The following is a 12,054-nucleotide window of genomic DNA, read 5'->3' on the forward strand; positions in this document are numbered from 1 at the left end:
GTGCTCATTTCGGCAACATGTATACTAAAATTGGAGCAATCCCGGAAAGATTCGCATGGCCCCTGTGCAAGGAGGACTCGTGAAGCGTTTCATATTTCTGCAGAACAATGTGAAGGCATTAAATGGCACTGTACTGTACACTTACAGTGTTTAAACTGGTACAATTTATGTTATGTATGTGATAATATATATCACAATTTTTAAAAAGAGAGAATGGGTGGAGTTGCAAAAGCCCCATTGCAGGCAGAGGGAGCATCAGGTCCAAGTGTTAGTGAACCGAGAGGAAACCCAGCAGCCAGGACTTGTGTGCTGAGATTTGTGGGGTGGCGTGTGGCCCAAGATGAGACTGGAATTGCAGAACCTGGTTATCGGTCTTTGTCTCAAGGCCAGTGAAAGATTACTGAAAAGCTTTTATTAAGGCAGTGACATAATTTGTGTTAAAAAAATATATCCCCCTGGACCAGGGTGAGAGTGGTTGGAGGGGCAGTGAATGTGGCTGACCAGGTAGAAAGCTGTCAGAGTTCTTCAGGAGAGAGATGGCTGTCACTTGGAGTAAGGTGCTGGAGTTGAGATGTAGAAAAGTGGGTAGATTTGAGAAAAGTTGGAGAACAAATGGCTGAACTTGTTGATGGGTTGCTGTGGGGGTGAGAGAAGGGACTCGTTGGGATGGATCTCCATGTTTCTGGGTGGACGGTGCTGCCAGTAACTGGGGCAGGAAGCACAGAGAGAAGGGGTTGGAGGATGGATAAAGGTGCTTGTTTTGGGCATGGTGTTGAGTTTGTGCCTCAGTGAGGTTTGCAGCTGCCAGCGGGGGAAGATCCTGTGCACGGGTCGTTGACTCAGGGCTCACTAAGGCCTGCACTAATTTCTGGTGGAGTCTCTGGTGATTCTACCCGCTTATGTACTGCACTGTTTTCTGAGGCATGTCTGTCACGGGACATGTGAGGACTCAGGACCACTCCCGAGAGAAAACAGATGGAACACCCCATCTGCCACGTGCAGCAGCCGGGCCTGCTCCCAGGGCAGCTGACAAAAATTCTCCCTTCTTCTTCTGAAAGGCTGCTCCCAAAGAAACCACACTGGCCTCATGACAGCATCCTGACTGGACTGTCCGTGGCATGTTGGTATTTTAGGCCTGCCAATTAACCGTGTGTCCAACTCTGGGTCCTGTAGACCCCAGGGTGGGCAGCTCTCAGAGCACTTCTGAAACATCGGCTTACGAGGCAGACACTGTGCTGAGTGATTGAAGCTAAATGTTGCTTCAGTTGCAAGGCTTGACTCTCTGGAACAGCTGCCGTTTCATTTAACAATCTTGGAAAACGAAAACATACTGGCTGGGTGTGATGGCTCACGCCTGTAATCCCAGCACTTTGGGAGGTTGAGGCCGGTGGATCACTGAGGTCAGGAGTTCAAGACTAGCCTGACCAACATGGTGAAGCCCTGTCTCTACTAAATACAAAAAATTAGCCAGGCATGATGGTGCGTGCCTGTAGTCCCAGCTACTTGGGAGCCTGAGGCAGGAGAATTGCATGAACTCGAGAGGCGGAGGTTGCAGTGAGCCGATATTGTGCCATTGCAGTCTAGCCTGGGCAACAAAAGCAAAACTGTGTCTCAAAAAACAAAACAAAACAAAACAAAACAAAAACAAACAAACAAACAAATCATACCCAGTTGAGATCCATCTGAGGCAGAAGTGGCCTTGTATTTGTGAGCTTCTCTCCTCCTCCCTCCCACCAATTCCTCTGCAATCCCTGGGCCTATCCTAGTGCCATTGTGAAGGAACGTCATTCTTTATTCATGCCCTGCTGCTGAAAGATGTATAAAGGCTTCGACTGAACAATCAAATATCAAAAAAACAACATTTAGGACATACCACCCAGACCACTAAGCATGTAATAAATGCCTGCAATTAGTCACACATGCCTCGAGGAGTAAACATGGGCTGGAATGAAGGATGGCTTTTTTATTATGCCAACAGATGAAGTCTTCATACTATGTACAGAAGCATTCAGGCCAAATTCTGGGGTAAGTTCAGAAATTTAACCCTCTAAAAGTGGCTGGTCATAATTGATTCAGAACTGGATAAGAATATGAGTTGAACCATTTTTAGCAATGACTCACTCTCACATTTAAGGGTAAACATGTACTGAAAGAAACTTGTTAATCTGTGAAGGTCAACCAAGATGATCTTGATATGTCCTCAAGGAAACACAACACGATATATGTAAGGTTGCATAGAAACAAATATGATAAGCCTATCTAAGGACAACATTCTGTTTTGAAAATGAAGGTAAGTCGTGCATGCAGAGTATTGGAAAAGGGCTCCAAAGTGAGAATGTGTGGTGTTCTGCAATGCTCCAATTCCACACTCACCAAGCACCATTCTCTTATACATTTGCTCTGCTTGTTGGCTTTGCTGCAGATGGAAGAAGGCATTAACAGGCTGGTACAAGGATTCTGAATTGCCTAATCAAAATATTCCTGACTATAAATTGCTACATTGTAATTTAGATTTATACAAACTCCTTAGGTTAGTGCTGGTCAGGTAGGTATTCTCCAAACTGCTTGGATCTTTCCCATGAGCCCACAGCCTATGGGGTGGCAGGAAGCGTCACACTTGCCAATTAACAGCATTTTACTTTAAATAGAACATTCTGAATTTGAGCATTTGTTCTATTTAGAGCTCCGTTTCGTATCAGGGCTGGCTTAAATACTCTCTTACATATGGCTCTTAGACGAAAGCTGTCTTTGGGATGGCAGGATCCTATTTTTCTCTTTCTGGACATGGTGTCCCAGAGTATAAGGCTTGTTGGATCATAAAGAATCTGACTAGCCATTGTCCTTATTTCCTGGGAGGCAGACTTTAAATCCCTGGAATTTCCTGAGTCATTTGACTGTCTTAGTTTACCTAACAAGATGACTCAGAATGCGGCTGGTCATCATAAAGACCAGACATGTGATTACAGGGTTGGGGCTTTAAGCCAGCCTGGCCCCCAAGGAGGGGAGGAGAGCTGAAGGCTGAGGTCACACACATGGCCAATGTTTCAATGATACCTTCACAGAGAAACTCCGATAAAACCTGGACATTGAAGCTCAGTGGCACTTTGTGGTTTGTGAACACATTGATGTATTGGAGGGTGATGCGCCTCCAATATAATAAACCTCCTGCACCTTCCTTTATAATAAAACTGCTATTCCTAAGCATAGTGCTTTCCTGAATTCTGTCAGTCATTCCAGTAAATTACTAAAACTGAGGGGAGTTATGGGAACCTCCTGATCTTACAACATTTGGTCGGAAGTGTGGGTGGCATGGGGATCCCAAAACTTGTGGCTGGCATCTGAAATAAGAGCAATCTTGTTGGGTATCCTGCCCTTTAATCTGTGGAGTCTGCTGCTAACTCTGGGTGATTAAAATCAAAATTGCAGGTGATAGCAGTCCAGAAAGGTTACACTCCCGGCAGGGGAAGAGGCATCAGTGGCCTGCTCAGAGGTCCTGTGGTCTTGGACGTGTGTGCCGTATTTCACAATAAACGGATGAGAGGGGAATGTGTGACACACATCCCTCACGTGAGATTTGTCTCGCTTAACTTCATTTCATACCATGTCTTTTGTCTCTAGAGGCGTGTTTTGAGAAAGACTCATAAATGTATACACCAGAATTTTCATTTATTGTTCTATCATTGAAACGCCTTGTAACTTTTCTAAATAGTTAAAAAGTCAGAATTTCTCAGGTCTGAAAATCCTATTTGCAACCATTGGTTCCTGTGCATCCAGTATGTGGCCTGCTATCCAGGATGATGCTGAGCCAAGTGATGCCAGTGCCCTTCTTTGAAAAATTAATCCCAGGATCAATCCTTAAAAGGGACAAGGGACAGATTCATGAACACAGAAGTGCTGCTGTCTCAAGAAACCAATTTCTCTCAACTTTTCATTCAGAGGAGGCAGAGTTGGGGATCAGCCGTCCCCATTTCTACTCCTCTCAGCCTGCTCCACAAAACTGTCAGCTCAGGCTCTGCTAAAGGCCCTTCTGCTCCACCCCTGGGATAGCTGTTCTCCTTGGGGGCCTCTGACAGCAGCTTTCACCTCCCACCTCAGCACCAGTGCAGGTTCCACAACCCTGGCTGCAGGTTAGAATCATCAGGGAGGTTAAATAAAATGCCCATGCTGTCTCCACCGTCAGAAATTCTTGCCTCTCAGGCTAGGTGATTCTCCTGGGCTCTGCTGGGTGTGGACTTGCAGAGCACAGTGTCTTGCATTTGCCTGCAACCTGCTAGTTTGATTAACATCTCCAGGAAAGGTGGCTCCATGGCTGTGTCTCCAGATGCATTCTTGGGCCAGGCACCTTATGTCTCACTCTTTACTTTTACAACTAGAAGAAGAGTTGTCATTTTGAAACACTTCATTTAGTTTTGCAGTTCTAATTAAACGTCTCCAGGTTAGTATTCTTGAAGCAAATAAGTATCTCATTTAATGAGAACTTATACAGTGCTAAAGGTTTGACGTGCATTTTCTTTTTTTTAGTCTTTTTATTGTGAAATATGGCACACACATAACAGAAATAGTTTACAAAGCAAAAATATACAATTGAGTGAATTATCAAAAGCAAATATTGGTATGCCATCACTTACATTAAAAAAGAAACACAATACGGCTAGCATCCCAGAAATCATGTCCATTCCCCTTCCTTGCCACTAGCCCCTCTTTCCTCATGAAAGGTAGGTAATCACTTCCCTGACATTTAAGGTAATCACTTCCCTGTTGCTTTGCATTGCCAATCACCAAATATGCATCTCCAAAGTTGAATTTTGTCTTGCATTTTGTGAATTTCAAATATATGGGACGTATGTGTTGTGTTCAGCTTTTTCTGCTCAATATTTGGAATTCATCCATCTTGCTGCATAGAGCCGTGATCCATTCATCTTCATTGCTATTTAACATTCCGCTGCATGACAAACGATCCACCTCTCCACTCTATTGCTGAATAACATCTGAGCCAGTTCCAGATTATGGTTATTGTAACTCATGGTAACAGTGCTGCTCTGAACACTCTTGCACATGCCTCCTGATGCCCACAGGAACTGCTGGGCCATAGGCCATGTGCAGCATCCTCCACTCCAGTAGACAAAGCTGAGCCATTTTCCAAAGTGGCTGCGCCAGTTCACAGTCCCATGCTTCATACTCTCTCCAACATGGGATGTTGCCAGTTGTCCTCACATTAGCTGTCCTGTGGGTGTATATGGCAGCTCTCTGTGTCTTGCCTGGCATTTTCCATTGTCAATGAGGTTGAACACTCCTGTGTTCCATGGCCACCTGAGTATGCTCCTCTGAAAAGTGTGCATTTGGTTCCTTTGTTCATTCTTCCACTGGGTTATCTGCTCCTGCTTTATGACCCTCAGGACATTCTGGATGCCAGCCTTCTCTGATATATAAAACATCCCCGTCACTGTGAGGCCTGACTCCTCATTCTCCCAATGACATCTCCGCATGAACCAAGGCTCTGATTTTACAGTAGATCAGGTAGATCTTCTTATGCCATCCTCCCCAAATGCCTGTGAAGTAGAATTATTGCCCCATCCTGAAGGTGTGGAAACTGATGTTTAACGCTTACAGAAGTTAGATAATGTGCTAATAAGTGGCAGCACTGAGATTAGCTCCCAGATCTGCCTGACGCCAAAGCCCAAGCACTGAATTCCCAGGCTCTATGAATAACAATTGACTATTTGTATTTGAGTCTTGGTCACAGTCCCAGCAAGCAACCAGTGAAAGCCAGATTTGTAGATTTCTGTTTCTTTCTTAGCCACTCTCCCACCCACTGCTCCACAATGGATAGATGCACATAAACTGTTGACTGCTAATTACTACATATTTGCTTAAAAATTGGAACTCAGTCCTGGGAAAAGTCTTGGAAGAGAAATGTTATCAGGCCATACTTGGTAAAAAGTTAGCTCTTTAATCTCTTTTATTTATTTTAGCACCCAAACTCAATCTCTTGGCCTGGTTCTCCCATGCATGATTTGACAGGGGAAAGAAGAAACATGGGAATTAAAGTGACCTCTCTGGGTCCCCAGATACCCACTCAGCATCACAGGTAGAGGCGCACAAGGAACCTGGCAGGAACCCTGTCCTGCGCTGCACTTGGAAGCATTTTGCTGTCCCGCACATGGCTGAGTAGGCAGTAGAAGCAAAGAGTGATGTTCACCAATAGTGTGTCATCCTTGTGTACAATGCGGGACAGTGGAAAATAGAGAGATGGAAAAAGAATCCAGGCAAATGCCAAACAGAGGAAAGCCACAGTAGAAATATTAATATCAGAATAACAAGAAACATTCCCCAGCCTGCCTGCCCGCCACATTGCTCAGTCTTTGGTGCTCACCCAGTGGGAGAGTTCTTGCATTCTAATATATTGTCCAATGGTCTTTCAAGAAAGGGCTTAAGGATAAAGGAGGGCAACGTGCCCTCCTGACTTGGCCACTTTTCTAGTGCTAGGCCATGAGAAGGTTCAGTTTTGATTTGACCTTGAGGCATCACTATGGGCTCAAGTACAAGGAGGCCTCCCTGGACACCTGTGCCTGGAAATGGACGTGACTCTTAAGGAGACAGTTCCATATTTAGTGCACAGGGGGCGATGCTCTGGGGCATCAAGTAGGTGTCTGAAGAGGTAAGAATTTTCTCCCTGGGAAGAACCGTTCCATATTTTGGTATGGGGGTGGGGGTGGGGGTGGGGGTGGGGGGGATGCAGCCCAGCCAAAACCAAACAAACGCTGTTTAAAATAAGGATCCCTTGCCAGAAGTTCACAGGCAGGGTGTCTTGTGTTTAAGACCACCGCCACGGAGGGGTCCTTCTGAACTGCAATTCGAGTGCCAACGGCCCCCTCTCTTGCCCACTTGCCTCTTCCTCCCCCAGGAGGAAGGGCGTGTGGGGTCGGGGATGCCAAACACCTCTATTTACTCTTGTTACTCCAGGGCGCACCATTCCAATAAAAAACAACATTCTGAGGCTGAAAAAACAAAAGTGCCCTGAACGCCAGCCCTAAGTAAACATCAGGGGAGAAGAGCAGCTCCGCAGGAAGGCCCCATCCCGGCACTGGGACTGCAGCCCATCCACGAAGAACTCCAGCAGGGCTAAGAGGACAGTGTGGAGGCCAGACACACCCGAGTGCAAACAGAATGCAGAAGAGCTTGCATTCCAGTCAGGAAGACAACAGTCCTCAGACGGGGCAAGGATGGAAAGAGGACACTCTAGACGTTAATGCTAAAATGTTAATAGCTAACATTTATTGCAGACTGTTTGTTTCCGGTGCTCTTCAAGCACTTTGCATTCGTAATGTTCACAACAGCTCTATGAGGTAGGTGCTTTAGGAAGGAGGGAATGGAGGCTCCGAGAGGTTAAGCTACTTGTCTGAGGTCTCCAGCTCGAGGCACTGCCTGGCACTCTCACCCGGAAGCCTGCGGGCTGGCCGGCCCCAGAGCCCGCCTCCTGCTCTGCACACTGACCACACTGGGCCTTCGGAGAGTCCTGATGCAGATTAGCATGCTAGTGACTCTGAGAAGTCCAGCAGAAAATATTTAAAAATGAAGTTGTTTCTATTCTGTACTCCAGAGTTCGTCCATTTAGTTGATGAGTCATGCTTTCTTTTAAGTGGGGTGATCAGACTTCAGGACACAGAAGCAGGTGAGCCCGGGCCGCCGCAGGCTCTCTGCGCAGGCGCCTGGGAGAAGCGTCTCTTCCTGGCTCGGGGCGGGGTGTCTCTCTGCGCCCGGCTCCGCTCAAGTGTCCCGACTGGGATCAGTCGCTAAGGCCGATGGCAGGGCAGGAAAGATCACTAGATGCAGGCAGGGTCCGGGGGCAGAGGCCCCTGTACTGGGGCCAGTCTCAGTGAATGACTTTTCCCCCGGTATCCAGGAGTTTTAAATTACAAGAGATAGACAACTACAATGATTTAAGAAAAGAAAATTAAAAGATTTAAGAGATAAAGTTGGCTCCAAATCGCTTGGGTCCAGGGACTAAAACTCTGTGTGTCTCTCTTTCATCTCTCTCTCTCTCCCTGAGCTTTGCCTTCCTGTGCTGGCTTCATTCCTGGGTAACACTCTCCCGGGGTGACTGGCAGCAGCTCCAGGCTCCATCATCTTTACTGCCGACCCAGCAATCTCCTTTCCTGTAGCTCCAGCCCAAGCCTGGGCCCTGGCTCTTCCTGGACTCAATTGGGTCAGGGGACCATCCCTGAGCCAATCGCTGGCACTGGGAGGCTGTGGCATTTCAATTGGCCAGGCTTGTATCAAGCACCTAGGGGTGGAGTTGCCCTGTCCTCACCGCAGGGAAGGTGAGTTGAGATGGGTGTCGTCCTCTTCTCTAACCGTTACAGTCTGTTGTAAGGGAAAGGGCGGACTAGACACTGGTCAGGCACAACCTACAGTGTCCACAGTGCGGGGACAGGGAGAGGTGGTTGTGTGCTAGGAGCTGTCCATTCTGTGGCTCGCCTTCCGACACAGCAGTTCTACTTTTAGACTTTATCCAAAACAGACAATTGGATAAGCATGTGTGTATGTATACACACACTGAAAAACCAGAAAGTTGGCCGGGCGCGATGGCTCACGCCTGTAATCCCAGCACCTTGGGAGGCCGAGGCGGGCGGAGCAGGAGGTCAGGAGATGCAGACCATCCCGGCTAACACAGTGAAACCGTCTCTACTAAAAATACGAAAAATTAGCCGGGCGCCTGTAGTCCCAGCTACTCGGGAGGCTGAGGCAGGAGAATGGCGTGAACCCGGAGGCGGAGCTTGCAGTGAGGCGAGATCGCTCCACTACACTCCAGCCTGGGCGACAGAGCGACACTCCGTATCAAAAAGAAAAAAAAAAGACATATTCTAACAGGGCACACACAACCTTTCTATGTTATCATGTCTGCAATAACATTTTCAAGGAATTCTTTGTAAATTCTAGTAAAGTAGAATATGCTTAAGTTTTGTTAAACTCTGAAATTTTATTAAAGTTTTATTAAAAACGAATTAAGGCCGGGCGCGGTGGCTCACACCTGTAATCCCAGCACTTTGGGAGGCCGAGACAGGCGGATCACGAGGTCAGGAGATCGAGACCATCCTGGCTAACACGGTGAAACCCCGTCTCTACTAAAAACACAAAAATATTAGCCGGGCGTGGTGTTGGGCACCTGTAGTCCCAGCTACTCGGGAGGCTGAGGCAGGAGAATGGCGTGAACCCGGGAGGCGGAGCTTGCAGTGAGCCGAGATCGCGCCACTGCACTCTGGCCTGGGCACAGAGTGAGACTCCGTCTCAAAAAAAAAAAAAATTGTTCAAATAAATCATTCACATCTAAATATTATGCAGCCAACAAAAAATTATGTAGATCTATATTTATCAGTTTTAAGATGTCCGCAATATATTACTGAATGGAAAAACAGTAAGGCCTCAGTTTTAAAAAATTATTTATCTTTTTGAGTAGGTATGACTAGAGAGATGTTAGATAGTTTTCAAAATATTAGGAGTGTTTATTGCTGGGTGGTGGCAATGTGGGTTATTTTTACATTCTTTCCTTTTCTGAACTTTTACCACAAACATATTTTTATAATCAGAAAAAGTCAATTTGTTTATTATTTTCAAAGAAAACTCATTATTTTCTAAGCTAATGGGAGAGTCTCAGTGTGAGAGAATCCTATCTTCTTCCCTTAGAATCTGCATGTTTTCAAGGAAAATGTTACAATTGCCCTGGAGCTCCTTCCCCTGCTGTTGCTGCTGCTGCCGCTATTGTTGTGATCCTCCTGGGAAGCCTGGCTTTGTGCCTTGTTTGCACTTTAGCACTGCTTCAGTTCTCATGGAGTCTGGGGGAGGTGGCTTAGTGTTGCAAATAATCCTCTGATTTGCCAAACTGTCTTTGGGTGCTGCCCATCTCGTCCGCATGCCTAGGACAGTAAATCTTTTCTAACCAGTATCTCTCTCCCTTTCCCTCTCCCTCACCCCATCTGTAACGTCTCCCATAGCAAAGCCTCCAAGTGCCATTGTGTCTCCTGGGCTGGGCAAGCGCATTTCATCTCCTCTGCACCAAAAACAGCCTGAGGACTTGTGAACTGGTCTGGAAGTCGAGAGCTCTTTTTTGATTTCATCATTAAATTGCTTTGCAAAAAGGGACACTTTCTGGTTTAATTTCTTCTGTCACTAATACTGAATCATGTGTAGCTGTCCAAAAGAAAAAAGGATCTGTTGTTGCTATTCCTTGTCAAACATAAAGTTATGGTTTAAATTCAGTGAAGTTTTTTGAGCAGCTGAGGTCACCTCTTAGTTGGTAGAATAATTTTGCCATTTTTCAACCTGTGTTTCACACAAGGTTATTAAAGGAAAAGTGCTAACAACTTTGAAATGAGAAGCTGGAAGTTTAAACGTGTTTGTCTTGAGTCATAGCATAAGGCACAGTTGCAATGCTTTGCTCTCTGTGTCTTATCACTTAGACCACATTCTTATTTTTGTACTTCCACTCACCTTGACCAGAGTAGAGGATCACATAAAGGGTATATTTTCCAAATAAAGCTGTTTGGATCATCATAGTTTTAACAAAGACAATCCCTAACATCTGTAGAGTGCATTCTCCACACTGCTGCCAGGGTTGTTTGACTAAGTCCCTAAGACAAGTTCTTAGCACGTTACTTGGTTGCTTTAAAAACCTTTGATGAGCCTCCATTGCCTACGTGATAAAGTCCAAACTCCTTAGCTCAGCATTCAAGGGCCTTCCCCATTTAACCCCAACCTTGCCTCCCTCCACCCCCTACAGGGACAGCACAGAGGCCACTTCCTGGCTTTACACAGCTGGTTCTTGTGTCCGGGATGTCCTTTGACTCTACCTCAAGGCTTGATCTCACCCTCTCTGGGAGACTTCCATGCTTCCCCCCAGAGAACCACTGTGCTCTTCTGAAAAACTTAACCAAGCAGACACAGTTTATATCATGTTGTCTTCTCCACTAGATTCTGCACCCTCTGGGGAATCAGTTTCCAAGTCTGGCTAAGCATCTCGTCTCCTGGGCAGCGTGATAAAAATACCATCCCTGAGCCCCACACCAGATCAACAGAACTAGAACCTCTGGGGGCAGAGCCCAGGAATCTGTGAATTTAAAGCAGTTTTCCTGGTGATTCTGACTGGCAAGCAGGCCTTGTAACCACTGCCCAGGATGAGCGTGCATTTTCCATGGGCCCAGCCAGGTGACAGCTAGGAGGGAGCAGAGAGAGAAGGAGGAGGCTGAGAGCTCAGGTGCACTGAGGGCCCGCCTTGTGCCAGGTTCTGCTCTGGGAGCTTTGATACCTGCTCATTCGATTTCAACCACCTCCAGATGAGGAAACTCAAGCTCAGGGGGTTTGTCTGAGGTCCCCACTAGTACATAGTGGAAATGTTAACAAAACCGGCTCTGCTTATCTCTTTGGACTCACATTCTTCTTTCTTAGCCCATGTTAAATAAATGCTAGGTAAAATACATGAATATCTGTGTTTGTGGATGCACTGTGCCTCACTCCCCTGCATTCAGTCAACCTGCAAGATCTATCCATTCGGTTTGCTCACGTCCATTCTCTGTCATGGAGACCTGGGAAACAACCTCCTAATCCATCTCCCACCATCTCCTACCATCTCCCCTCAAATTCATTCTCTCAGCTGTGGTGGAGTGATCATTTAAACTTGCAAATCTGCCAAAGCTACTCTGCTTATGGTACATTTTACTACATATAAGCTTTTCATTTTTATATAAATAAATATGTCTATTTCTGCCTTGATAGCTTTAAGCTTTTCAAACTTAATAATGAGTATTTAAGCAGGCCTTCCCAGCCCTCTAGATTTCTAATGTAAATGACAAGCCAGGGGTTACATTTTATAATATATTAAGAGTTTGTACACATTGACATGAAAGACACATCTTAGAAAAATGGGCAATAAAGTAGGCATAAGCGATTCACAGATGAGAAGATTCACCTAATCCACAACCAAATGAAGGGACTCCAATTACTGATGTCACTCAACACCCCTCAGACTACAGAAAATTTAAGCTAGCTATGACACTTAAT

At 46.0% G+C, this 12,054-nt stretch overlaps 1 long non-coding RNA gene and 1 pseudogene across 2 annotated transcripts, besides 5 other annotated features; both read left to right on the top strand.

Moving 5' to 3' along the window:
• Positions 1–99, top strand: RNU6-765P (RNA, U6 small nuclear 765, pseudogene; annotated as a pseudogene).
• Positions 6,529–7,512: an enhancer, noted in NCBI's record as "H3K4me1 hESC enhancer chr9:38686531-38687514 (GRCh37/hg19 assembly coordinates)". NCBI's record gives its function as "activates a minimal SCP1, AML or CMV promoter by ChIP-STARR-seq in naive H9 embryonic stem cells {active_cell/tissue: H9 hESC(naive)}" and the evidence as "EXISTENCE:reporter gene assay evidence [ECO:0000049][PMID:30033119]".
• Positions 7,513–8,494: an enhancer, noted in NCBI's record as "H3K4me1 hESC enhancer chr9:38687515-38688496 (GRCh37/hg19 assembly coordinates)". NCBI's record gives its function as "activates a minimal SCP1, AML or CMV promoter by ChIP-STARR-seq in naive H9 embryonic stem cells {active_cell/tissue: H9 hESC(naive)}" and the evidence as "EXISTENCE:reporter gene assay evidence [ECO:0000049][PMID:30033119]".
• Positions 7,527–10,140, top strand: LOC124902156 (uncharacterized). 2 transcript variants are annotated; one of them, XR_007061490.1, is made up of 2 exons: positions 7,527–7,672; positions 9,993–10,140. It is a non-coding gene; the product is annotated as an uncharacterized LOC124902156 (long non-coding RNA). The 2 variants fall into 2 exon arrangements; XR_007061489.1 differs by lacking the exon at positions 7,527–7,672 and adding an exon at positions 7,725–8,321.
• Positions 7,667–7,961: a silencer, noted in NCBI's record as "tiled region #1016; K562 Repressive non-DNase unmatched - State 8:EnhW". NCBI's record gives its function as "represses a minimal TATA promoter and a strong SV40 promoter by Sharpr-MPRA in K562 cells {active_cell/tissue: K562}" and the evidence as "EXISTENCE:reporter gene assay evidence [ECO:0000049][PMID:27701403]".
• Positions 8,495–9,477: an enhancer, noted in NCBI's record as "H3K27ac-H3K4me1 hESC enhancer chr9:38688497-38689479 (GRCh37/hg19 assembly coordinates)". NCBI's record gives its function as "activates a minimal SCP1, AML or CMV promoter by ChIP-STARR-seq in primed H9 embryonic stem cells {active_cell/tissue: H9 hESC(primed)}" and the evidence as "EXISTENCE:reporter gene assay evidence [ECO:0000049][PMID:30033119]".
• Positions 9,478–10,459: an enhancer, noted in NCBI's record as "NANOG-H3K27ac-H3K4me1 hESC enhancer chr9:38689480-38690461 (GRCh37/hg19 assembly coordinates)". NCBI's record gives its function as "activates a minimal SCP1, AML or CMV promoter by ChIP-STARR-seq in primed H9 embryonic stem cells {active_cell/tissue: H9 hESC(primed)}" and the evidence as "EXISTENCE:reporter gene assay evidence [ECO:0000049][PMID:30033119]".

This window comes from Homo sapiens, chromosome 9 (genome assembly GCF_000001405.40).
Source record: "Homo sapiens chromosome 9, GRCh38.p14 Primary Assembly".
NCBI classification, from domain to species: Eukaryota; Metazoa; Chordata; class Mammalia; order Primates; family Hominidae; genus Homo; species Homo sapiens.